The sequence below is a fragment of the Homo sapiens genome, chromosome 11 (assembly GCF_000001405.40).
Source record: "Homo sapiens chromosome 11, GRCh38.p14 Primary Assembly".
Classification (NCBI taxonomy): Eukaryota; Metazoa; Chordata; class Mammalia; order Primates; family Hominidae; genus Homo; species Homo sapiens.
Genome location: NC_000011.10, coordinates 43994084 through 44021600, shown reverse-complemented (window position 1 = coordinate 44021600; position 27517 = coordinate 43994084). Strand labels below are relative to the sequence as shown.

Sequence of the window (27517 nt, the reverse complement as noted above, 5' to 3'; positions counted from 1 at the left end):
CAGCAAAAGAAATAATCAGCAGAGTAAACAGAAATCCACAGAGGGGGAGAAAATTTTTGCAAACTATACATCCAACAAGGAACTAATATACAGAAGCTACAAGGAACTCAAACAAATCAGCAAGAAAAAGAACAAATAATCCCATCAAAAAGTGGACAAAGGACATGAATAGACAATTCTCAAAAGAAGATATACAAATGGCCAACAAACATGAAAAATGCTCAACATCACTAATTATCATGGAAATACAAATCAAAACCACAATGCAATACCGCCTAACTCCTGCAAGAATGGCCATAAATAAAAAATCAAAACATAATAGATGTTGGCATGGATGTGGTGAAAAGGGAACACTATTACACTGCTGGTGGGAATGTAAGCTAGTACAACCACTATGGGAAACAGTATGGAGATTCCTTAAAGAACTAAAACTAGAGCTACCATTTGATCCATCAATCCCACTACTGGAGGAAAAGAAGTCATTATATGAAAAAGACACTTGCACACACATGTTTATAGCAGCACAATTCACAATCGTAAAATACGGAACCAGCCTAAATGCCCATCAACCAACAACTAGATAAAGAAAATGTGATACATATACACACACCATGGAATACTACTCAGCCATAAAAAGGAATGAAATAATGGCATTTGCAGCAACCCAGATGTAGTTGGAAACCATCATTCTAAGTGAAGTAACTTAGGAATGAGAAACCAAACATTATATGTTCTCATTTGTAAGTGGGAGCTAAGCTATGAGGACATGAAGGCATAAGAATGATACAATGGACTTTGGGGAGTCAGGGGAAATGGTGGGAGGGGGGTGAGGAATAAAAGACTATGCATGGGTAAAGTGTACACTGCTAGGGTGATGGGTGCACCAAAATCTCAGAAATCACCACTAAAGAACTTATCCATGTAACTAGATACCACCTGTTCCCCCAAAAACTATTGAAATTAAAAAAGAAAAAAAATCAATATAATGTACCATATTAATAGGATAAAGGACAAAAACCATGTGATTATCTTCATAGGCACGGGAAAAACATTTGACAGAATCCAACACTCTTTCATGATAAAAACACACAAAGACACTAGGAATAGATTTCCTCAATCTAATAAAGGACATCTATGAAAAATCCACATTTATCATTCTTAATGGTGAAAGACTTAAAATTCTCCTTGTAATATCAAGAACAATAGAAGGATGTCTGCTCTCACCATTTCTATTCAACATTGTACTGGATAGTCTAGTCAAGACAAGTAAGAAAAAGAAATAAAAGGCATCCAGGCTGTGGAAAAAAAAGGAGTAAAACTATCTCTATTTGTAGATGATATGATCTTATATATAGAAAAGCCTAAGGAAGCTACAAATACACAAACTATACGAGCTAATAAACATGCAACAAGTTGCAGGATACAAGATCAAAATGTACTACAAAGCAACAGTAATCAAGACCATATGGTACTAGAATAAGGGTAGAAATACAGATCAGTGGAATAAAATTGAAAGTCCAGCTGTAAACCTTTACATTTATGGTCAATTGATTTTCAACAAGGGTGCCAAGATAATTCAGTGGGGGCAAAAATAGTTTTTTCCAACAAATAATGCTGAGACAAGTGGATATCCACATGCAAAAGGATGGAATTAGACCCCTACCTTATACCATGTGCAAAAATTAACTCCAGATGGATCAGAGGTCTAAATGTAAGAGTTAAACCAATAAAGCTCTTAGAGAAAAACATAGAAGTAGATTTTCGTGAGCTTGGATTAGGTAATGGTTTCTTAGATATGGCACTGAAAGTACAATTTACAAAAGAAAAATATATTTAAATTGAACTTCATCAACACTAGAAACTTCTGTGCTTCAAGGGACACTATCAAGAAAGTAAAAAGATAACTTTCAAAAGGGAGAAAAGATTTGCAAATCATATATCTGATAAAGGTCTAGTATTTAGAACATATAAAGAAATCTTACAGTTCAGTAATAACAAGACAAATAACCTAATTTTTAAATGGGCAAATGATTGGAATAGAGATTTTTCCAAATAATATATACAAATGTGCCAACAAGCCCATGAAAAATGTTCTCAAAAACCACAATTAGATACTACTTTATACTCACTAGGATGGCTAGAATAAAAATGACAGACAGTAACAAGTGTTGGCAAGGATGTGGAAAAATCAGAACCTTCATACGCTGCTGGTTGGATTGTAAAATGATGCAGCCACTTTGGAAAACAGGCAGTTCTTCTAAAAAGTTAAACACAGAGTTACTATATGACCCAACAATTCCACTGCTAGGTATATACGCAACAGAATTTGAAACATATGTGCAGGCAAACACTTGTACACATATGTTCATAACAATATTATTCATAATAGCCCCAACGTGGAAACAACTTAGTCCATCGACTGATGGATGATTAAACAAAGTGTGATATATCCATACAATGGAAAATGAGTACTGATTCATGCACCAACATGGATGAACCTTGAAAACATACATTAAGTGAGAAAAACCAGCCACAAAAGACCACACATTGTATTACTTCATTCATATGATATGCCTAGAAGAGTCAAATTCATACAGACAGAAAATGAATTAGTGGTTGCCAAGGGCTGGAAACAGAGAGGGGAATGGAGAATTAATGGGTATCAAATTTCTTTTTGGAGTGATGAGAATGTTTTGGAATTAGATAATTGCACAATTTTGTGAATATACCTTAAAATGCTGAATTGTATATTTTAAGGGGTGAATTTTTAATTTTCGTTTTATTTCCTTTTATTTTTAAGAAATGGGGTCTTAGTATGCTGTCCAGGCTGGTCTCAAACTCCTAGCCTCAAGTGATTCTCCTACCTTGGCCTCCCAATGTGCTGAGATTACAGGCATGAAAAAGGTGAATTTTATATGTGAATTATATCTCAGTAAAGCTACTTTATTTTAAAAATGAGTAATTATTACTATTATCATCCTGGACCCAAGTCTAGAAACCCATCTAGAATGGACCCTGAAAGGTCAAGGGTGCTGTTGCCCTCCACCAGGCACAAGGCCAAGGTCTCTCAATCTCTGGCTGCCCAGGTGAAGGGAAGAGGAAGTTGAGCCTGGGCTGTGTCCAAGTCTGCAGGAGAAACTTCTGCCCTGACTGAGCACCAACTATATTGCCTGTAGACTCATGGGTCAGGAGGGTAAGCCTGAGTGGGGCTGGGGCGAGTTGGGGCTCCTGCTATCAGTTCTGTGTCTGCACAGCTGGTGAGAGCAGGCAGAGGTCGAGACCGGCTGGCATAGACCTCCCTGCTGTGAGTTCACATCTCAGTCTGGCTGAGTCGTCTGCCTGGAGTTGTGATGCTCCCTGGGAAGCTCACCCTCTCTCAGATATCTGCATCTTTGGTCTCCTTAAGTACTGCCCAGGTGGCCAAGGGGTCTATCCACTGTGAAGTTCCTTCCCCCACTGGGGCTGGGGGACAGACAGACGCCCAAATACAGGGAGTGGCTCAAGGTCCCTGATGGGTGAGGAAAAGAACTCCAGTCCCCTGGATCCCTGGCTCCTGTGTACTTCACAAAGCATTTTTCCTAAAACAGTTCTCCCAGGAGACGCTGCTGGTTTCCTGGGAGCCATCCAAATTTATGATTTATGGAAAAATCATTACTGCTTGGCAATGGCTCATCTCCAGCCCAATGACAAGCTGCTTACTTCCACCCCTCTCTTCCCAGTGCCCAGTAGCTTCCAGGAACCACTCCACCCAGCCTTTCTCTCTCTCTCTCTCTCCCAGGGTCAGTCATCATAACATGGATCAATGATCAAGCCCAGGGTTACACAATTACTTTACATGTATGATCCACCTGAATGTCCTCCAAAACCCTGTACAGCAGGAGCTCTTATGATGCCCACTTTCAAGGAGTAAACCGAGGCATAGAGAGGTTATGTCAGTTGCCCAGGATCCCAGAAAGCACTGGAGGAAACATCTGAACCTGATGTCTGGCTGCACTCTTCTCATGAACACTTGAGCCATTCAGGAAATGAACAGAGCTGATTGCCCCCAAGCCTGGGAGAACACTAACCCCCATAGGCCAGGTGGACAAATGGGCCACCCAGGGGCTACTCTTGCCTGTTCCTGCAGACCTGGCAGACATCATTCCTCTATGCCAGCACTTTTTTCAGGGCTTTTGCATAAGGCCTTGCAGGTTGTACACAGGGAGTATAGTCACAGAGATCACAATGTGAATGCCCCTGGTGCCCCTGGAGTTGTGCAGTGCACAACCTACACAGCTGTATGTGTGAGCCCTGACTTTTCACCAGGCCTTGCATGGGACATCCTGCTCCCTTCTTCTAACCTAGTGAACTCTGCTCATCTTGCAAGGCCTGGCTCAAATTCTACCTCCTCCTGGAAGCCATCCTGGAACAGCCCAGGCCACCTTGCTGTCCCTTCCTCTGGACCCCCATAGACAAGTCCTTTCCATTGGGTATTGGGTGGCTGCTTCCATATGTGTGCCTGTGTGTATCTGAATGTCCTTGATGAGCTCTAGGAGGGCAGAGGCTGGTTTCAAAGTGACTTGTTTCTCCCACCTCACCTGACAGGGCTCTATAAATACTTGCTCATTGGCAGATCTTCAGATTATGAAACATGAGGCAAAAACTCCAGAAATGAATCAGAGATTCTCAGTGCTGGAGGGGTCTCTATAAGAGATCTATTTTATAAGTAGAGAAACTAAGGCTCTGAGAGGGAAGTTGTTTACCCAAAATCCCAAGGTCAGTGGGACCTCTGACACCATGTCCAGTGGTCTTTCTGTTAACTACCGCAGGCCTGGGTACTCGGCTGCTTCTCCCAAAGAAATGCCATAGCAGCTTTGCCTATGGAGTCCACATACTTGTCTGCTGGATTTCTTGGCAAGTCCCCTATCATGAAGTCCTGTATTTGGGGTATTGGAAAGGGCTTTCAAGGCTTGGTCCAACCACCCTTCAATTCCTGAGGACCACCCACCCTTTTCCCAGAGCTGGACCCCCAACCTGAACAGATACTATCTTTTTCTGGTTCTATTAAACCACCTATTTTTGAGTGATCAAGATACAGGGGCCTTGTTTCCCCAAAAAAACCTCAGGTCAGAGCAGCTCAGGGAGGATTTAGGACCCTTTCCAATCCTGTTGTAGTCTAGCTGAGCATCTCCAGAATATCTGCTCGCCCATTCCCCCTCCCCCAGCTCAGCTAGGACAGAAGCAGATGCTTCCCAAGGGACCTCCGTTGCTGGAATCCAACCACCTCCCAGGCCTGCCCACTGTGACTAAGCCGGCCAGCAATACTGCAGCAGCCACCACCCGGCAACCTGGGGTTTTTCCACTCCAGAAATGCTGCAGGATCTGTGTCCCTGACTGGCCCACCAGAGTAGCAGTTGGCTAAAATTGAGCCACCGGTACCAAAGTCTCATGTTCCTGGGGGCTCCAGGCCTGGCTTTATCAAGGCACAAAAAAGAAAGCCCCTATCAATGCTTGGAGGTCTTCATTGGTTGGAAGAAGTGTTTAGGGATGCTAGGGCCACATAGGAGAAAAAAATAGCAGGCTAGAGTAAGGGTCCCTTTTTCAACCCAAAGAAGAATATTTTTATTGGAGGAAGAATTGGAGCTTCTGCAATATGATCATAAATGACTAAAGGAAACAAAGAAATTAATATAATTTATTACTACATGCCAGGCATTTTCATTTCTTATGTTTCGCTTACTCCTCACAACTAAATTAGAAATTAGTGTGATTGCCCCATTTTACAGATATGAAAACTGAGGCTCAGAAAGCTTAAATACTGGTCCAAGGTCAGAGGACTAGGATTTGAATGCAGATCTATCTGATGACGCAGCCCAGGCTCTTTCTAGTACACCATCCTGCTGGGAATTAGCTCCAATGTTTAAGACAAACCTAGCCGCATTCTTATTGGAGAAGTATTTTTGCATGAGCTGGGTTGAGGATGGGCTTTAGGGTAGAAGCGAAACACCACTAGTCTGGCTCTTAGGAGGCTTTGGTGTGGGTTCTGCTCCCCACTCAAGGAGTAAAGTTGCTTCTTGTCTTGGGCCGGCGTCTTGTCTGCCTCTTTAGTGAAGCAGGAAGGACTCAGAGGTCTATATGATGCCTACACGATGCTAAGCTCCTATTTCTTCTCTCTGGTAGACGGCCCTGTCTCCCACTGGAGGAGAGTGGGTGGGAGGCAATGCAATGTCAGAGGCAAGAGCAGAGGCTTTGCAGCCAGGCCAATCTGAGTGTAAGTCCTGTAAGGATTTGAGCAACGTGCTTAACCCTCCCAGCCTCAGTTTCCCATCCTTAAAATGGGGCTAATCTTATTAGTAGATTTATTGTCTGGTGTATTGCAACCTTATAGTGTATTTGGGTGGAAAGCAGTGATATAATGCATGAATCATGCCTGCCAAAGGACTTGGTATGTAGTCAGCATTCAACACGTGTGCTCAGAAAAAAAGCCATTAGCTGGCCACTGAGTGTTTATGGAGCACCTACTCCATCACCAACTTGGTGAGATTATTTGCCCAGAGCAGTTTGTGCATGCCTGTGATTATGGCAGCTGATTGACAGTGCCATTGGCTCCTGGGTGCCCCTGCATGTGTATCATCACATCCCCGGGAGGAGGGGAGGGGGAAGGCAGTCAGGCCGCCACTGGCCCTGGGTTGAGGATGCTGAGGCCCACGAGATGTCTGTGATTCTTGGGATTGGAGCAGGAGCCCAGGCTCGGAGAGCGCTTTAGAGGCCCAGGCCCATACCTTTTTCTCTCACCAGGTGTCTCTCCACGGTGCCTCTGCTGTACTGCAGGACTCAATCTGGTGGGTCCTTCTCCCCTCCTACTCCTAGGGTCACTCAAATGTAGAGTCCAGACTTTCAGAGTAAGGCCCTGCCAGGGGCTGCCCTAGGGTCACCATCCTCCAAGATGGACCCTACGATCCCCTCTCCTGGTAGTGATACCCTTGTGCAGGCCCCTCCCACACTGTGCCAGGTTGGTCAGTGTGACCAATAGAATATGGTGGAAGTGGTGGTATGTCCCTTCTGAGATTAGGTGATAAAAGACAGTGGCACCTCTCTCTCTCTCTCTCTCTCTCTCTCTCTCTCTCTCTCTCTCTCTGGCTATCTCTCTCTGCCAGCTCATTGCTCTCGGGGAAGCCAGCTGCGATGTCATGATGACCCTCAGGCAGCCTATGGCCCACATGGCAGGGACTGAGGTCTCTGGCTGACAGCCGATGAGGCATCGCCGCCTGCCAAGGGCCACAGAGTGAGCCTGGAAGCCCAGTCCAGTTTTCAGATGACAGCAGCCCCTGCCCGCAGCTGGACCTCAAGGGGCCTCCTGTGAAGCCCTGAGCCAGGATCAGCAGCTCAGCCACTCTTGAAACCCTGGCCTTCAGAAACTGTGAGGCAGTAAGTGAAGTAAGCATTTGTGGTCTTAAGATGTAAGATGCGGTGTGGGGATATATGTTTCACAGCGGTATATAACTGGCACCTGCCCCCAACCCCACTGCTGGCAGCACTCCTGGGGGCCAAACAAAAAGAACCCTTATCTGCTGTTTCCCCTTCAGGAAGGCGCTGTGCTGCTTTGGGCCTCAGTTTCCTCAGCATCACGATTGGTGGCAATGAGGCCTTCTTCTCAAGTTTGAGATGAAGACCAACAGAAATGAGTTCAGAGCCCAGGTGGTTTCTGGGGCAGGAGGGCGCCTCTGCAGGCTGTGAAAACCCATCTGTCTGTTACCAACCCCGAAGCCTCTGTCCGCACAGCCCCAAATGCTACTTTTTACTTTTTACATTCAAGTCTTGCTGCAATCAAGGGTGACCAAGCAGTCCTGTTTTTTTGTTTTTGTTTTTGAATTAAACTAGGTTTGCAGGGTGGTGGTGAGTTGTAGAATCACTATATGCTCACAAAATAAAATGAAACAGCTCAAAAACCTATGAAATACGTAATATATTTTCATACCCTTCACTCCAAATTCTGTCTTACAGAGAAAACCATTATTAAGACGTGCTTGGCCAGGCGTGGTGGCTCGCGCCTGTAATCCCAGCACTTTGGGAGGCCGAGGCGGGTGGATCACCTGAGGTCAGGGGTTCGAGACCAGCCTGGCCAACATGGCAAGCGCCCCCCTCCACCCCCCATCTCTACTAAAAGTACAAAAATTAGCCAGGCATGGTGGTGGGCACCTGTAATCCAGGCTACTTGGGAGTCTGAGGCAGGAGAATCGCTTGAATCCAGGAGGCAGAGGTTGCAGCGAGCCGAGATTGCGCCACTGCACTCCAGCTCCAGCCTGGTGACAGGGCAAGATCTTGTCTCCAAAAAAAAGGAAAAAGAATTGCTTATGTTCTTTTACATACATAAGTTTCCTATGCATAGATAAGCAGATCCATTTATGCCTATTTTTAGCCCAAAAGTATGATAATATACACGCTGTTTTGCACTTTGCTTTTTCAGTGTATCTTGGACTTCTTTCTTTATATGCATATATAGACCTACCTCATTCTCTTTCCTTCAGTCATGTAACCATTATTTCTTGAGCACCTGCCATGTGCTAGACCCTGTTCATATATCACAGATTTAATGAGTATTTACCATGCTCCCGGCACTGGGCTAGCCCAGGGTTTCTCACCCTTGGCACTATTGATATTTAGGACCAGATTATTCTTTGTTGTTGAGAGGAGGTTAACCCAGTAAAGGACACCAAGAAGGAACGTTGTTGAGTTAGGAAGAAAATCAAGGGACTGTAATATGGAAAGAGCCACCTTACAGCTTTCATAACATTTCACCACATGGAGGGACCACAATGTATTAGGCCGTTTCCTTATTGTTGGACTTTAATTGTTCTGACTTTTTTGCTAGCATAAAAAACACTGCAATGAACATCTTTATATGTCTATCTCTGCACACAACTTCAAGTATATCCATGAGATAGATTCTTGGAAGATAATTTGGCACTATGAAGGGTATATGTCTTTAAATGTTTGACAGATATTGCTAAATTGCCCTGAAAAAAGTTAATCAAGGCTGGGTACAGTGGCTCACACCTATAATCCCAGCACGTTGGGTGGCAGAGGCAGGTGGATCACCTGAGGTCAGGAGTTCAAGACCAGCCTGGCCAACATGGTGAAACCCCGTTTCTACGAAAAATACAAAAATTTGCTGGACATGGTGGCGGGCACCTGTAATCCCAGCTACTCAGGAGGCTGAGGCAGGAGAATTGCTTGAACACGGGAGGCGGAGGTTGCAGTGAGCTGAGATCGTGCCATTGCATTCCCGCCTGGGCAAAAAGAGCGAAACTCTATCTCAAAAAAAAAAAAAAGTTAATCAAATTGATATTCCCAAGAAGAGTATATAAGAGAGCCTGTTTCTCCATACCTAGCCAGCATCAGGTCTTTCTGGAAGACTGAGCACAAAGTGGGCATAAATGGGAACCTCTATTGAGAGCCAAACACTAGCCCCACTGACCACAGCAGACCACTTCCTGGGCCATCACCTCCTTGAAGGAGTCCAGAGGATCATCCAGGAGAAGACTTTGGCAGGACGGACAGAAAAAAGGCTAGAAGGGAGGTTCTTCTCTTTCCTCCCACATCCCTCCTAGCATCAGCACATGAGTAATGATTCCCTCACATATGTACTCATTACACAAATACTTAGCAGTATTGGAGCAAGTATTCATTGCACAAATACTTCAAATAAGGCTCTAGGTTGGATGTATTTGTATTTTGATAGGTAATTGAACAGAATCCTCTCTTCCTCTTTTTCCTCTCACCAGGGAATGTTCTTTTAACTTCTCAACCATACACACACACACACGCCCCCACACATACTCAAACACACACCCAGGGTTTATCAGGGTCTCCACCACCCATATGTGAGCTCTGAACAGACCAGTATGTTCTTTCAGATGGACAGTCTTGAAACACTTCAGCATTTTTTTGGTTGGGGAGGAGAAAAACTGACTGCATATGTGCAAAAATTACTGATCTCTTTTTGAGGTTTATAACACCTTTATTCATTTATTCATTCACTGAACAAATATTTATTGAGCACCTCTCACAGATCAGGATAGGGAGACCGAGTAAGTGTCAGAATAGGTCTAACTTATGTGGACGTGTTTACAAAGCATTGGCCAAAATATGTTTCAAACTCCTTCTTCCATGCTTTGTGCTAAGTGCAGGGGACAGAATGATCAGCAAAAACAGACGCAGTCCCTCCACTTAAGGACATTATAATGAAATGGGGAAGGCAACCATTACTTAAACAAGCTCACTAATAAATCCATAGCTAGGACCACGATGAGTGCTGGGGAGAAGTACTGGAGCCAGCCATGGGGGTTTCTGGCCTCACTGGCTGGGGGTTGGGAGGTGGAGGTCAGGGAGGATGTACCTGTTGAGCAGATGTCCAGGTGGGAAATGAAGGTAGCATGGACTGAACAGGTAGCAGGGGAGATGGGAGACATACACAGATCTGAGACACCCTTAGGAACTAAACTCCCAGTGGGGCGAGGAGAGACAGATGTACGCTCTTGGGTTTCTGGCTCATGGTGAAATCTTTTCCAAAGGCTGGAAATATTGGAAGCGCCCCAGGTTACAGGCTCTAAATGCAATGCAATATTTTAACTTATTTGGACTTTTATGTCCCAGCTTTTCCATCATGCAATTTGCCTAACTTGAGTCACCCTCACTGACTAAGTATAGGGGTAACTTACAAGATGTTTACAAATTCTTGCTAAAATAGAGTGCAAATTCCTCAATCCTAGCTCTCACATCAGCAAGACCCGACTCAGTTATACACACTTGTTGCTCCTGCTTCCATTTCTCAATTTTCTTTGCCATTTTCCAGACCAGACAACTTCTCAGGAGGCCCAGGAAAGGGTTTTGAGTTTGGAGAACGAAGTAAATCAGTTGCTTCTAGCTATCAGCACCAGACCATGTACAATTCCATTTCAGAGTTTTGACTACCTGGGATTGGAGACTTCAGGGCACTGCCAGTGGGAAAATGTGAACATAGCAAAACCACTTAGCAGAAAGAGCTCAAGAGAGAGGGGAGATTTTTTTCTTCCATGTTATCCACTTGGGCATGAGAGGGGTCAATTCAAGTTTTGCCAGTCATATAAGTCCCCTCTGAAAAACCTGCATTAACTTGGACCATATGCCCACTTTATTTCAGGGATATTTGTCCCTCTATCTCCAGCACCTAGAGTAATGCCTGTACATAGTAAGTGTTCAGTAAATATTTGTTGCCTATATGAAGGAGACGATTTTTTTTTGAGACAGAGTTTCGCTCTTGTCACCAGGCTGGAGTGCAATGGTGCGATCTCGGCTCACTGCAACCTCCGCCTCCCAGATTCAAGCAATTCTCCTGCCTCAGCCTCCCGAGTAGCTGGGATTACAGGCATGTGCCACCATGCCTGGCTAATTTTGTATTTTTAGTAGAGACGGGGTTTCTCCATGTTGGTCAGGCTGGTCTCAAACTCCTGACCTCAGGTGATCCCCCCACCTTGGCCTCCCAAAATGCTGGGATTACAGGCATGAGCCATTGCACACAGCTGAGAGGTGACGTTTTTATCTCTCATTTAGATGTCAGTCCTCTTAGCCTAGTTCTTCCAACACCAAGCAGTTGTTTTGAGCAGGCATCTCTGGTCTCACATTTACCATCATTAATAAGAGAGAAGACTTTATCCCCAGGAGAAGCAGAGTAAGAAGAGGACTGGGGCTTGGGATGGCAACTTGTCCATTCAGAGTAACAAGGAAGCCTTTTCTATGGGCAGCCAGAGTCCTTTGATTCCAAGATGCACAATTGGTTCTCATTCTATTTGATATTATTTTATTTATTTACTTACTTGAGACAGGGTCCTGCCCTGTCACCCAGGCTAGAGTGCAGTGGTGCGATCACGGCTCACTGCAGCTTCAACCTCCTGGGCTCAAGCGATCCTCCTGACTCAGCCTCCCAAGTAGCTGGGACCACAGGTGCACACCACCATGCCCAGCAAATTTTTTATTTTTAGTAGAGACAGGGTCTCACTATGTCGCCGAGGCTGGTCTCAAACTCCTGGGTTCAAGCCATCCTCCTATCTTGGCCTCTCAAAGTGTTGGGATTATGGGCGTGAGCCACTGCGCCCGGCCCTGAGCACTTTTTATATGCAGCTTTTTCTTCTCCCCAGTTTTGTTTCAGACTCTGTGCTCTCTGGCATTTCTCTTCCAACTCTGCTAATCCTTCTACAAATCCTAGGCTAGGCCCAAGGAACTGACCTGGCAACAGTAGAACCCTCCTGTGTGGGTAGAGAAGGGGAGAAACTGAGTCACAACAAATCCTTTTTAGCAGCTGGGAGAAGCAAAGGCCTGGGAACCCTGATACCGCAATCGCTCCTATCCTGTTCAATAATGGTAGCTTCCATTTATGGAGCACTAGGCATTGTATTAAATTTTGTTTGTTTGTTTTGAGACAGGGTCTCCCGCTGTCACCCAGGCTGGAATGCAGTGCCATGATCACAGCTCACTGCACCCTCGACCTCCCAGACTCAAGTGATTCTCCCACCTCAGCGTCCCGGGTAGCTGGGACCACATTTACATGCCACCATGCCTGGCTAATTTTTTGTATTTTCAGTAGAGACAGGGTCTCGCCATGTTGCCCAGGCTGGTCTCAAACTCCTGGCCTCAGATGATCTGCACACCTTGGCCTCCCAAAGTGCTGGGATCACAGGCTCTGACATTTACCAGTGATATGACCTTGGACCTCAGTTTTCTTATCTGTAAACAGGGTTTAATACAAACACCTACTTCTGAGAGTTGTCAGGAGATGACATTACCTGATGCAGGTGATGTGCTCAGGCAGTGCCTGGCCCTTGGTAGGTGTTCAGCACATGTCACTAGGTGCCTCAGATTGTTTAAAGTGGCAAATCTATGAGACAGGTGTTATCATCGCTGCAGTGAAGAGGAACCTGAGGCCCAAAGAGGCAAAATAACTTGCCCAGGTTGACACAGTTCATATATAGAAAGACTATGCTTCGCGGTCATACAGCCGGTCCCAAGCCATCTTCTTAACCACTATGCTTACTGTCTCTATCAATCCCCTTTTACAGATTAGGAAAATGAGATTTGGATGAGTCCTGTTCACAACGACAGAAGAAGGACAGCCCCTGTGGGGCAGACCAGGTCTCCTGACATTGCTTTTTGCCCTGAGAGCCCTGGGAGGTCCCGGAGAGATAAACTACCCAGTGAGCAGAGACTCCTGCAGTCCAGGCACCAGCCCCGGACCACGCTGCCCACAGCTGATATGTCACCTCTCTTAGCTTTCTGCAATTTGGTCGCATCCCAGGGAAAAACTGTCACATTTTTGCAGTGGTCAGGGCCTCCCCAGCCCCTGCATCACCACCACCACCAAAAGCCATCTCTGAGCATCTGCTTGTGGCCTGGGGCAAGAGGCAGCCTTAGAAGGTGAATCATCCTGGGGAATGAAAATTACTTCTGAGATGCCCTCTGGGCACTGAAGTATTGGCATGTCCAGGTTGATGGGGACAATGACACAGAAGCCTGGATATTGAACTGGAGAATCAGCTGCCACATCCCCACACCAGGCTAGACCAGTGTGCACACTGGAAGAGATGGACCCTGTCTAAAGCAAGAACCCTCTTCCTGCACTCCAGTGCCTGAGCCACCTTGAGGGAGAGCTGCACCCTGTGTGCTGTTTTAGGAGTCGAGACGGGTCTCACTGCACCATCCAAACCACCCCCAACACTGTCTTATAACCAAAGGGATAAAAGTGAGCATGTACAGAGCACCTACTGTGTGCCAGCCCTGAGCTTGGTCATTTCATCCTTCCGTTGTCTCATGTAATCTACACCACAAACCAGCAAGGGCATACATAATCATCCTTATTTTCCAGAGGAGGAGCCTCCCTGAGGCGCTCTGGGGCTCAGAGAAGTTGAGTGCCCAGCCCAAGGTCACACATATAGAGCCTGAGAGGCAGAGGAAAGGTTCAAGTGCTGCCTTTCCTGCTATACTTAGGTGCCTTTGCTTGGACTGACCCAAGGCCTTGTCTCTATGAGACAACAGGGATGTGGTTTGAGGAGCGAGCATCATCCTGGGACAGAGAAGAGGGCTTAGGTGGTTCATCACTGCACAGTGGCCTAGAGGTCTGTTTCTATGGGGGCTCTTGGAGTCCCCCAGCTTTTGCACAGATGCTTCCCAGAAGCAATGGCTTCGGATTCCACATCCAAGTGGGGCCTCTGAACAATCTCGGGCCTTGGGGCTTCTTTCTCGCCCAGGCTCTGGAATGTCTGGCTGGGAAGGGGGCCCGAAGCTGGGGGGCACTTCTGTCTCAAACTGATTTCAAATAAAATTCAGTCCCCAGAGAGTCATCCATCTGAGACAGAAGGAGCCTGTGACATTCCCGGGGCCTCCCTGGGCAGATCTGGCAAAAACCAGAGCAGGCCTGAGGCAGTCTGCCCTGCAGCTCCCTGGCCCTAGGGCCTGCCAGGTGGTACAGACTCTGGCCTTGTATGGGCAAAATTGTCCCGCCAAGCCTAACTTTGGAGTCAGCTTTATCTCTATTTTTGGCCCCCGGGGGTAGTGTTGGTCTCTCCTCTGAGCTCTCATTGGCTCAAACGTCAGCTAGGCCTACGAGGATTCTTGACGCTCGTCTAGGGTCAAGGGCCAGTGGGGAGAGGTTAGCTTGAATGTCCAACCGCGGGGAGGAGAACATCGCTAAAAATAATAACAACAATATCAACAACTAGCTATTACTTCCTGCCAGGCATCATGCTGAAAGCTTTCCACAGATTGTCCCTTTAAGATCTTAAAGAGGTCTGGGTGTGGTAGCTAATGCCTGTATTCCCAGCACTTTGAGAGGCCAAGGCAGGCAGATCACTTGAGGTCAGGAGTTCGAGACCAGCCGGGCCAACATGATGAAACCCCATCTCTACAAAAATACAAAAATTAGCCAGATGTGATGGTGCGTGTCTCTAATCCCAGCTACTCAGGAGGCTGAGGCAGGAGAATCATTTGAACCCAGGAGATGGAGGCTGCAGTAAGCCGAGATTGCACCACTGCACTCCAGCCTGGGTAACAGAGCGAGACTCTGCCTCAAAAAAAAAAAAAAAAAAAAAAAATCTCAAAGAGGTGAGTAGCATCATTATTCCCCCTTAAGCATCTTCCAGAAGTTGGGTACCTTACCCAAAGTCACGCAGTCAGCAAGGAGCTGCAAAGCCATGCACACTGGCTCTCAGCCACTCAAATGAGCTGCATCCAGCTAGCACCCAGAGCTGGAAGGGGCCTCAGTCTACATCCAAGCCAGCTCCTCCATCCCACAAGGAAGCCTGAACCACCTGGGTCCCACTTTGGTGGCAGGTCCAGGCCCAGATCACCCAGACTCCAAGGCCAGAGCTTTGCCCTCCCACCTAGCACCCTGCCCCTAAGGGTCTAGCCAGGCCCTGGCTGCCAGAGGAGGGTCCACACAGTCACCCCTCCTGGGACTGGCCCAGTTCTTTCAGACTGGTCCAGTTCTGGGATCCAGGAGAAGTAGTCTCTACAGAGTAAGGCTGGAACCCTGGAGGTCGCTGGGGTGGCATGGTGGTGGGAGTCTTGAGCCTAGGCCACAGAAAAGATGGGGTGGGGAACACACCCTGCAAACTTGGGCCCTCCCCTGCACTTTGGCCTTTGGGCAGATTCCTTGCATTGCGGATCTTTGGAGTTTACACCTGGGTCCAAATCCAGCTTCTGCCACTTAGCAGCTATTTGACCCTGGAGACAAAATCCTACATGCCTGTAAGCCTTGGTTTCTTCATCTGTAAAGTGGGGATAACAGGTCCGCCATCTCCTCTAGTTGTTGAGAGAGTTAGATGTAGTGTGATAGTGTAATTACCTGCACAGCTTTACCTGGGGGTAGAGGGCGGGGGAGGAGGTTCTGGGAACATGAAACTTTCAGTAGTAAAATCTGGGCACGTCCGGGGAAGCCAGAATGAGTTGGTGTTCCTGTGAGACCTAATATGCAAAGCACGGAGCACAGTGCCTGGCAGAAAACACACCCAATGCCCCAAACCCGCTGTGCATTCAAAATTCACAGCCCACTCCTCAGCTGCACTCCCTCCCTCAGCGCTGCCTCACTGTGAGAGATTTGCCACCCAGAGCCCCTGAGTCGAGGAGCAAAACAAAGCTAGTGCTGCCCTCAGTGCTCCCCTCCCCATAGTGGAACCCCTTTGTCCTCAGAACCCTCCCCTCCCCCACCCAGGCAGGCTGTGTGCCAGCAGCAATTACAGAATCTCATATTCACAGAAGCCTGCACGTGCAGCCCACGATCAGCAGTAATTAGGCAGCTAAAGGAGTTTGAAAGCCCATCAGCCAATCCGGGGAGGGGGTGCTGAATGGGACAATCAGCCTCACCAGGCAGGGGGCTGGGGGCAGGGAAAGAGTGGGACTCTTGTCGAGGGGTGGAGGGACAGCCATTGAAACAGTTCCCCTCACCCCTCTACAGCTGTCGTGTACAATGGCAGGGTGGGGGTGAGCTTGCCGGGACTCGAAAAGCACAGGGCAGACTGGCACGGGGGAGAAGGGGTGGGTGGGCCGGGCTGGGTGTTCTGAAGACAAGGCCAACCTCACCACCACCAGTGGGCCTCCGAAAAACATATCTCCTACAAGTGTCCCAATGGCCTTGGTTAGGAGTGTATCCAGGCAGGTATCCTCTCCCTGCTAGGAAGTTGCATCCCCTCGATGGGAAAGAACTCCTAGAGCAGTGCTTCTCCAACTGTAAAGTGCTAGCAAATCACCAGGTTCTTGCTAAAATGTACATTCTGGTCCCGTGGGACCAGGAAGGGGCCTAGAATTCTGCATTTCCAACCAGCTCCCAGATGCTGTCAATGCTGCTGGTCTTGGACTGCATTTTGAGGAGCAAAGTTCAGTGCATCTCTGAGGATAGGGCGGGCAGATGGAAGGGAAAGACCCTGGAGTCATTTACCCACTACTTGACCTTGGGCAAGCCCCCTCGATTCCTAGGGCCTCATTTTCCCGATAGCCATCCTGCCTGCGGCTGGGGCTGGGCTGAGAATGAAAGGAGAAAACAGCTAGGTACATGCCCTTGAGAGTCGCAGACAGGCTTTTATGGGGAGGGGACCAGAGCTCAGCTCAGCTCAGCTCAGCTTGGCCTTGGAAGCCCTGGGTGCGGGTAGGGAGCAACTGGAGCTCAAATTTTGGAACAGGCTGGTGAGACTCCTTTTCTCACCTCTTGCTCTTGGGGGTCCCTGGGTAGTTTCTTGGTCCCCCAGGGCGGTATGCGGGGGTGAGCAAACACCAAGAACTTGGCCCAGAAAACCCGCTCTGTGTCCTTCCCCAGACTCAAGCTCGTGACTGCCCTTCTGATCTGGGCTCTCTCTACTCCAAGCCTCTGTGCACGTGGTTCTAGATGCCCGGGACACATCCCCCCCCTTCACCTCACTCACTCCTGGGAGCCCCCTGGCCTCAGTTTCCCCCTTCCACATGCAGACTCAGCCCCTCCCCTGACTTCAGGACCAACGGAACAAGAGGCTGCAGGTTGCTAGGCAGTCAGGGTCCCAGATACCTCATTCTGGGCATCTGGGTACCCCTTACCCCAGGATAGGGGTCTGGCTCTGCTCTGCCTGCTCTAGCCACAACCCCAGGAATGCTCACCTCCAAGGCCTGGGGGAACAGCTCCCTGCTACTGGCTGCTGCCAGAGGGTGAGGGCCTGGTGAGGTTCCTCCAAGTGAGGTACCCCCTATCCCTGGGTAACAGGGGCCCCTGGCAGAGCCCAGACCCACAGCCCCCGGGCAGCAGTCAGGTCAGGCTCCTGCACTGCCTCTCCAGGCTGGAAACTGCAGAGTGTGCGAAAAGTCAGAGGGGAATGGGCAGTTACTGTCCAGTGGGGATAGAATTTCGGTTGTATAGGATGAAAAGAGTTTTGGAGATGAATAATGGCAACAGTTGCCCAATGTAATTAATGCATTTTTTTTTTTTTTGAGACAAAGTCTCACTCTGTTGCCCAGACTGGAGTGTAGTGGCGCGATCTCAGCTCACTGCAACCTCCACCTCCTGGGTTCAAGCGATTCACCTGCCTCAGCCTCCCGATTACAGGCATGCACCACCACACCCAGCTAATTTTTGTACTTTTTGTAGAGCTGGAGCTTCACCATGTTGGCCAGGCTGGTCTTGAACTCCTGGCCTCAAGCGACCCACCCACCTCAGCCTCCCAAAGTGCTGGGATTACAGGTGTGAGCCACCATGCCAGGCCTATGAATGCATTTAATGCCACTAAACTGTACATTTAAAAATAGTTAAGATAGTAAACTTTATGTTATGTGCATTTGGCCACAATAAAAAACAATTCAGAGAGAAGAATCTGGCAGTGGCTGCAAACACCATGTCCTCTCTGAGGTGACTTCCGTGACCTGCTTTGGCTTATACTTGGAACATTGTGTTATCATTTTTAACATAATTTTTCTCCTCATTCTTTTTAAAAACCAGCTTCTCCTAATGCAATTACTTTTCTGCAAAATATAATAACATTTTACATTTGTAAATGTTCATTATGAAATATTTCAGATGAACCAAATGGTCTTTACTCATGTCCCCTCACCACGCTTAAGCAATGAAACATCACGAATGCAGCTGCAGCCTCCTTGTGACCCTGCATGATGGTGTCTTCTCCCTCCCTACTCCCAGAAAGTCACCCTCACCATGCCGCATCCAGACCCCTCCAGCCCTGGACAAGGCCATGCAGCCATTCCCGTCAACAGAGCAGCTCCCCTACCCGGTGCCTTGCCAGGGGCTTTTGCTTATTGTCTCATTTAACCTCCACAACAAAAAATCACTCCTAGCTAGGGTAACTATCCCCATTTTACCGGTAAGGATTCTGAGGCTCAGAGAGGTTAAATAGCTCCCCTCAGATCACACAGCATTCAGACCCACAGAAGGCAGATTCACAAACTGCCCTTTTCCAGATGCCAACTAGGGCCTCAAAGTGCCCCTCCCACCCTAGTAAGCTGGTATCTCCCCAGCTACAGCCTCCAGGGTCACTGGAGTTTCCCAAAGCCAGGTCTCTTGGGGAAGTGAGTGGTGAAACCCTGAGTTGGTTGCCAGGGATGACTTTGGCCATCCTGTGTCAAGACGACTTAAAAACATAAGCCAGAGGAAAGTGGTGTGCTCGACCATCAGAGAGAATTTCCCAGCGTAACCTTTCCCTAGAAACCACGCGGGGGGCTTCTTCCAGAAACTTCTTCCAAAGAGTGGGTCATTCCTGGGGGTCCAGATTCACCCCACCCGGGTGCAGGTAGGCCAGCTCGGGGTGGGGCGAGGTGGCATCTGAAGGGGAGAATCCTTCGAGGCCAGGCCCACAGCTCAGGGCAGCATGGGGAGGCGCGCTCTCAAACCCACCCCTTCTCCTGTCCCCCACCAGAATGGCCCTTTCCGGTGGTCTGGGGCCACGTAACACAGGAGGAAGGAGGACCTGTTTCACCTTGGCTCAGGAGCAGGGACAAAGGAGCAAGGGCAAACACTTCCCCCCTCCTTGTCCACAGATGAAAAAAAGCTCAACAAAACCAGGGCTGTAATTCCAAACCTATTTTCCTCTCCCTGGTGGGCTGACTCCAAGGCCCCCTCCCTGAGCCATTAATACTAGGAATGAGCTGTGCTAGCTCTGAGAGGACCTGTCACCAGGGTGCAGCGGGGTGAGGACAGTGAGGAAGTGCAGAGAGAAGAAGCCCTCAGAGCCTTCCAGCCCCTTCAACCACTTTGGGGAGGAAGAAGGAGCCTGTCGGGGAGCCCCACCCTCTACACACACACACACACACACACACACACACACACACACACACACACACACACACAGCCCCTTTACCTCCACTTCCCCCCTGCTCCCACCCCATCCATGAACCCCAGGCAAAGGCTGGCCTCCTTTTCTGTAATTCCTCCTGTCCACCCACATTTAGATTTATAACAGCTCAGAAGGCGAGTGGGCAGGATCTCGTATTTTGCTTGCACAAGGCAGGAATGCATGAATGAATCTCCATTTAACAGATGGACACGCCGAGGCCAGACTCTGCCCCCGACAAGCCAGCTGCAGAGGAGGCACCTGACTCCCGATCTTCTCTATACACAGTCTCACCCCGGAATCTTAGAACGTTTCCCAATTTCAATAATTGTAATACTTCTGCCCTCATTTTTTTTCAAAGTTTGGATGCCTGTTGCTGTTGTCTGCTAACAAAAGACTGAACAGAAATGGCTAGAAAAGACTGATGGAAAAACCTGGAAACAAGCCACCCCCGAGAGATGGGCAGCTTGCTTTGCTCCTGAATGCAAGCAGGACTCTTGCTTGCAATTTCATTTTGCGTACAAATAACGAGTATTGTTCACCACATTTTCCGCTGGTAAAAATTGTTCCCGGTTTCCACCTTGCTTGGTAGTATGTCTGTTTATGTTTCTGTCCTCCCCACAAGACTGCAGGCTTCCGGAGATGAGGGAATTTATTTTATGCATCTCTGTGACTCCCATAGTTAGGACAGGGCCTGGCACAAAACAGGGGCATAGCAAATGCATGAATAACAATAATAATGGCTATCATCTATCGAGGAGGCAGCTTAATGTAAAAGTTATGAGGATGAGCTCCAGAATCACCTTGCCTGGGTTTGAATCCCAGCTCAATTTTCTTAACTTATCGGTGCCTCAGCCTCCTCATCTGTGAAATGGGCTTATAGCATAGTTGTCTCTCAGTACCTGGGGGATTGGCTCCAGGATCCCCTGTGGATACCAAAATTCATTGATGCTCACATCCCTGATATAAAATGGCATACTATTTGTATATACACTATGCACATCCTCCCATATACTTTATTTCTTTATTTATTTTACAATTTTCTTTCTTTCTTTCTTTCTTTCTTTTTTGAGGCAGAATCTCACTCCATCACACAGGCTGGAGTGCAGAGGTATGATCTCAGCACACTGCCACACTGCAACAGGCATTTTTTTTTTTTTTAATAGAGACAGGGGGCTGGGCGCATTCACTATGCACATCCTCCCATATACTTTATTTATTTATTTGTTTGTTTTACAATTTTGTTTTCTTTTCTTTTTTTTTTTTTGAGACAGAGTCTCACTCGGTCACCCAGGCTGGAGTGCAGTGGCATGATCTCAGCACACTGCCACACTGCAACAGGCTTTTTTTTTTTAAAATAGAGACAGGGGGCCAGGTGAGGTGGCTCATGCCTGTAATCCCAGCACTTTGGGAGGCAGAGGCAGGGGATCACCTGAGGTCAGGAGTTCGAAACCAGCCTGGCCAACATGGCGAAACCTTGTCTCTACTAAAAATACAAAAATTAGCTGAGCATGGTGGTGCATGCCTGTAATCCCAGCTACTTGAGAGGCTGAGGCAGGAGAATCGCTTGCACCCGGGAGGCGGAGGTTGCAGTGAGCTGAGATCGTGCCACTGCACTCCAGCCTGGGCAACAGAGCAAGACTCCATCTCAAAATAAAAAAAGAAAGGAAAGAAAAATAGAGGCAGGGTTTCACCATTTTGCTCAGGCTGGTCTCAAACTCTTGGGCTCAAGTGATCCGCCCCCGCTTGGCCTTCCAAAGTGAGGGGATTACAGTCATGATACACCGTGCTTGGCCCCTTCCATATACTTTAAGTCATCTCTAGATTACTTATAACACCTAATACAATGTAAATGCTATGTAAATAATTATTATACTGTATTGGTTTTTTATTTGTATTTTTCATTGTTGTGTTGTTACTCTTTATGATTTATTTTTTTCTGAATATTTTTGATCTGTGGATGTGGAACCCACAGATACTGAGAGCAGATTATACCTACTACATGGGATCAGGAAGGGGATTGAAAGACCGTGGCTGCCAACCTTACCTTGGCCTCCGATTATCCCACCCCCTGATATTCATTCTCTTGTATAATCCTCTCCCCTTGAGTGTGGGCCAGACATAGTAGCTGGCTTCTAACCGACAGAATACAGCAAAGAAGGCGTATCACTTCTGCAGTTAGGTTACTCAGTAGCAGACTCACCCTTGCTAGCTTTGCCGGAGTGTCATGGTGGAGAAACCCATGTGACAAGGAGCTGAGGACCACCTGCAGTCAACAGCCTGCAAGAAACTGAGACCCCAGTCGAAAAACCCTCAGGAACTAAATTCCACCAACACTAGAGTGAGCAGATCCTGCCCTAGTCCAGCCTTCAGATGAAATCCCAGCCCCAGCTGACATGTTGGCTGCAGCTTTTTGAGAGATCCTGAAGTAGAGGACCCAGCTAAGCTGTGCCTGTATTCCTGACCCAGAGGTTGAGAGGTGTGTCATTTTAAGCCTGGAAATTTGTGGTAATTTGTTACACAGTAATAAACAACTAATATAAGGCCTTATACATGTGATATGCCTAGAGCGGGGCTTGGCACACTGTAAGGGTTCGGTAAATGTTGGCTTTCATTATTGAGCATGTGCTATGGGCCAGGATTGTGTCTTAAGCGCTTAACATTCAATATCTCATTTCATCCTCGCAACTGTTAGCCTCATTGGAAAGACGAGGAAACTGAGGCACAGAGAGAGCCACTTAGCATACATACAGAGGTTTCACAGCTAATAGTAAAGCCAGGATTTAAATTCAGGTCTGTATGACTCAAAAGCCATAAGTAACCTGAGCAACAAAGTAAGACCCCATCTCTGAAAAAATGTAAAAATTTAGCCTGGTGTGATGGTGCATGCCTGTAGTCTCAGCTACTGGGGAGGCTGAGGTGGGAGGATCACCTGAGCCTGGCGGTTTGAGGCTGCAGTGAGCCGTGATCACATCACCACACTCTAGGCTGGGCAACAGAGAGAGACATTGTCTCAAAAAAAAAAAAATGCCATGTGACAATGAATGAATAAATAATGAATGAATCTATGAAGAAGGTGACAATGAATGAATAAATAATGAATGAATCTATGAAGAAGTGAATGAATGAATAAGTGAGAGGGCAAACTGGGTCAATAAACATTCATTAAGTAAATTTTTAACTCTCACTTTGCCAAACCCACTGAACCCAGAGATGCCAGGGATCTGGTTGGTGCCTGGCCCTGGAGCCTGCTGAGCCAGTGGCCACCAGAACCCAAGAGACCAGGGCCCCTCAAGGCTAAGACCTCAGCGCTGTGCCCACTGTGGAGAATGCCTAATCCAGGGCTTTCCTTATGGAACCAGTCACAAAGGCTCTGGTTTTTTCATGAAATGGGGACATGGGAGGAGAGACAAAAAAATCAGCCAACACACACTGAAAAGAAAGGGGATGAAGAAAGATCTGGGGCTCAGGTAAGAATCTAAGCCCCATCAGCTGAATTTCACCCACACACTCGCCCTCCAGGAGTTCAGGAAGCATTTCCACGTAACAGTGCTGCACTGAAGGGCATCAGCATTCATGTCGTCCTTACTATGTGACTGTCCTGGCTGAACGCTTTACACACCTTGTCTCATTCAACCATCTCCACAACAATAGTGAAGTCTATTGTCACCCCCTTTACACCAATGGGAATTTGAGACCGAAACGGTTAAGAAACTGGCCCAAAGATACGCAGAAAGTGGCAGAGCTGGGATTTGAACCAAGGTTGCCTAACTCCAAAATACCATGCTTTTAAACCACCATGCTACACTGATGGTGATTTGATGTGTGAGACAGACACCGCTGGGTGGCTAGGCCAGCACCTGTTTCCTACCTCTTCTCCCTTGTCTATTTCCCCCATAGAAGCTGGAGGAGGGAGACATTCTCTTCCCATAGAAGAAGGCCAGGAGGACCGCAGAGCTGCTGCTGCTAGCACTGCTGAATCCCCTAACCTAGATCTTTGGCTGCTTAATTCTAGCCTCTAATGTGGGGTAAACAAAGCCACACTTGTTTTTGTCACTATTGGTTGGGGTTTCCAATACTTGCAGCCAAAAACCTTCCTGACGATGCATTGGCAAAAGGAAACCTGTATCTCAAGGTGTTTCACACACATTTCTTGGCTGGTGAAGCTGGAACATAGACATCTACGTTTGATCCCTCCTCAAACCTCCCTGAAACAATAGTTAAGGGATGTTCTTTGAGGCATAAAACGACGAGAATGGGGAGAGTAGGAGAGGAGAGAACAGCATGGAAAATATCGCAACTGGAAAGCTGCCAAACAGGTTGCAGCTGACTTAGCAGACCCAGAAAGCTGAATCCTCAGCCAACACATGGGAAAAACTAAGAATTAACCTGATATACGTGCAGAAGCCCCAGAGGATCGCGAGGCAGGAGGAAGCCGGAAGAATCCTCTCTGGAACCGACAGCCCAAAAGAAACTGACACAGGGGGTTTTCAAGAAACAGTCCAGCCAGAGCATCTCACGGTGAAGCAGCAAGACGGGGCCCTCTGTTTAGCATAAAATACCTGCTACATGTTGGTCCACGCCTCCGAGATTCTAATTTAATTGGTCTGGGGAACCCCCTGGACATTGGGATTTTTTTTTTAACTCCCCACATGAGTATAATGTGAAATCAAGGTTAAGAACCTGGCCAGGAGTGGCTCATGCCTGTAATCTCAATACTTTGGGAGACTGAGGCGGGTGGATCACCTGAGGTCGGGAGTTTGAGACCAGCCTGGCCAACATGGCGAAACTGTCTCTACTAAAAATAAAAAAATTAGCCAGGAGTGGAGGTGGGCGCCTGTAATCCCAGCTATTTGGGAGGTTGAGGCACAATAATCGTTTGAACCCAGGAGGTGGAGGTTGCAGTGAGCCGAGTGTACACCCTTGCTCTTTAGCCTGGGTGACAGAGCGAGACTTTGCCTCAAAAAAAAAAAAAAAAAGGAAAAAAGGTTGAGAACCTTGAGGAACATGAGTCTCCCCACCAAGGCCCATCAAAGCTGTCCCAGCTGAGTCTCCAAGGAAGAGACTTCTGGAAACATCTGGAATGAGGTTCCAAGCTTTGTCTCCAGTCCAAACTTTCCTCTGGGAGAGAGAACCTGCAGCCCCACTGGAGGCCTTAAAAGCACCTCAGATTCAGATGTACACTTGTGTCTTTACCAAAACCTGGTCCTGTCACCCCCATCTCAGGCATGGGCACTGTCACCTACTCAGCAGAAGCCATTGTCCTAGGGTTCATCCTTGACATGACCTATAAACTCCATCTTCTAAGTATCTCCCATGTCTGTCCACTTTCCTCCATCTCCATCTGCCCCATCCTCACCAAGCTGCCATCAGCTGTTAACAGAGCGTGGCAATCTCCCTGCGACAGGTCTCCCCACAGCCACTGACGCCCCTCTGACCCACGTTCCACACCCCATTGGCAAAGCTGTCTCAAGACATCAATCGAACCATATTATTCTCCAGGTTAGAGCCATCTATGGTGTTTTCATTTCCTGGGATTGCTAAAACAAAGTACTACCAGTGGGGGGCTTGAACAACAGAAATTTATCCTCTCACAGTTCTAGCGGCTGGAAATCTGAGATCAAGGTGTCAGCAGAGTTGGTCCCTTCTGAGGGCTGTGAGTGGGGACTATCCCAGGCCTTTCCCCTGGCTTCTGGGAGCCTCAGACCTTCCTTGGCTTGTAAACAGCGTTCTTCCTGTGCCACTACACATGGTCTTCCCTCTGTGTCTGCCTCTGTGCCAAATTACCCCCTTTTTATAAGGACACAGGTCATATTGGATTAGGGCCCACCCTAATGACTTTATCTTAAGTTGGTCATCTGCAAAGATGTTTTTCAAATCGAGGTGGCATTCACAGATTCTGGGGTTAGGGGAGGACTTCCATATCTTTCAGAGGGATCTGGTTCAACTCATAATACATGGCTCTTTAGGGGAAAGGCCAAGTCTTCCCACAGCCATTTGGCCCTGTGTGGTCTGGCAAGGCCCCTTCTTATTCTCCCTCTTGCTCTCTGGGCTCTGCACTCGCTGGCCTCCTTCCTCTGAAATGCACTGGGGTCCTTCCAGCTCACCTACCACTGTCCACTTGGGTACAGAGCTCTCTCCTTCCTACCTCCTCATGTACCAACTCCTATTTGCCCTCCCTGTCTGTGCCCTAGCCTTTCTGCCCTCAAGCCCAGCTCAGGCCAGGTTCCCTAGGACATACTCTCTCTGTCCTCTACCCCTTGGTGGAATATCTACATTGCGATGAACTATTTGCACTCACTTTGCCTTCTCCACTGGAAAGTCAATTCCATGAGGACAGACAATAAGACAGTTCTGTTGACGGCTGCCTTCCTAGGCCTCATGTGTGTCCTCCATGTGCGTCGACTGCCAACTGCTCAGTGAAAACTTCAGTCACTGAAGATGTCCTCCTTCGACACGCAGGCAGAGCAGCCTCCTTAATGGCTGTGGAGTCAGAGTCTTGGGTTGGGATCTGAACATCACAACTTGGCAGCTGTGTGTCTATTGAGCGGGTCACCCAACCTTCCTGTGCACAGAGTCCTCATAAGGCCTCAAAACAGCCCCAGTGACACCTTCCCCCTCCCCTGAAATACCCAGCACCGTGCCCAGCATGCAGTAGGCTCTTAGAAGTTAGTTCTCCCCACCCTAGGAAGAGTGTTATATCAGGAGTCAGGACCCTGGCCAGGACATGCCACTCACCTTGCATAAGTCTCTCTCCCCATCTGGGAAAATATTCCACCCTATAGAGTGTAAAGGTTGGCCTAAATCAGTGGTCTCAACCCTGATGAATGCAAAGTCCCCTTCTTATAATAAATATTTAGGCCGGGCGCGGTGACTCACGCCTGTAATCCCAGCACTTTGCGAGGCCGAGGCAGGTGATCCCTTGAGCTCAGGAGTTTAAGACCAGCCTGGGCAACATGGTGAAACTTCATCTCTACAAATACAAAAAAAAATTAGCCAGGCATGGTGGCACGCGCATTGTAGTCCCAGCTACTCAGGAGGTAGAGGTGGGAGGATTGCTTGAGCCTGGGAAGTTGAGGCTGCAGTTAGCTGTGATCATGCCACTGCACTTCAGCCTGAACAACAGAGTGAGACCCTGTCTCAAAATAATAATAATAATAATAATACATATTTAGTAACACCCCTTTTACCTCCCAAAATGAAATTCTTAGAAACAAGAAACTACTCACCCACTAAATCAAAATGCACACAACACACACAGACACACACACACACATATACACACAATGCTCTAACTAAAATATAAAGAACAAATAAAGGAAAAATAATTTATACTTAAGTCATGGACATTCCAACCCTATTGAATAATGGTATGGCCACACTGACACCCTGATGAAGCAGTCAGAGGCTGGCTTCCATTTGCAGAATTTCCATGAACATAACAGCTGCACATGCAGACTGCACACACTGTTAGACTGGCAACTTGGATATTCCAGTGGCACTATCAGTGAGGACTATATTTCCTGAGATGGTGAACAACTCCTGGTAAAGTTCCAGACTAAACCAAAGAGACTGATCTATACAGTAGTTGTAATCCAAGAAAGTTAAGTGAATAAAAGAAATGCAAAAAATACTGTCTTTAAATGTAAAACAGAATTATATTCTAGGCTTGGGTGTTTAAAAACAAATCTCCATACAACAGTGGTTTT

The 27517-nt window shown here is 47.5% G+C and overlaps 1 protein-coding gene across 1 annotated transcript in view, besides 3 other annotated features; it reads right to left on the bottom strand.

Moving 5' to 3' along the window:
- ACCSL (1-aminocyclopropane-1-carboxylate synthase homolog (inactive) like) overlaps positions 1–27517 on the bottom strand; it is a 138910-nt gene that overhangs the window by 38377 nt on the left and 73016 nt on the right. The window lies entirely within an intron of this gene.
- Positions 6827–7326: an enhancer, noted in NCBI's record as "H3K27ac hESC enhancer chr11:44035825-44036324 (GRCh37/hg19 assembly coordinates)". NCBI's record gives its function as "activates a minimal SCP1, AML or CMV promoter by ChIP-STARR-seq in naive and primed H9 embryonic stem cells {active_cell/tissue: H9 hESC(naive and primed)}" and the evidence as "EXISTENCE:reporter gene assay evidence [ECO:0000049][PMID:30033119]".
- Positions 13837–14336: an enhancer, noted in NCBI's record as "H3K27ac hESC enhancer chr11:44028815-44029314 (GRCh37/hg19 assembly coordinates)". NCBI's record gives its function as "activates a minimal SCP1, AML or CMV promoter by ChIP-STARR-seq in primed H9 embryonic stem cells {active_cell/tissue: H9 hESC(primed)}" and the evidence as "EXISTENCE:reporter gene assay evidence [ECO:0000049][PMID:30033119]".
- Positions 15865–16726: an enhancer, noted in NCBI's record as "H3K27ac-H3K4me1 hESC enhancer chr11:44026425-44027286 (GRCh37/hg19 assembly coordinates)". NCBI's record gives its function as "activates a minimal SCP1, AML or CMV promoter by ChIP-STARR-seq in naive H9 embryonic stem cells {active_cell/tissue: H9 hESC(naive)}" and the evidence as "EXISTENCE:reporter gene assay evidence [ECO:0000049][PMID:30033119]".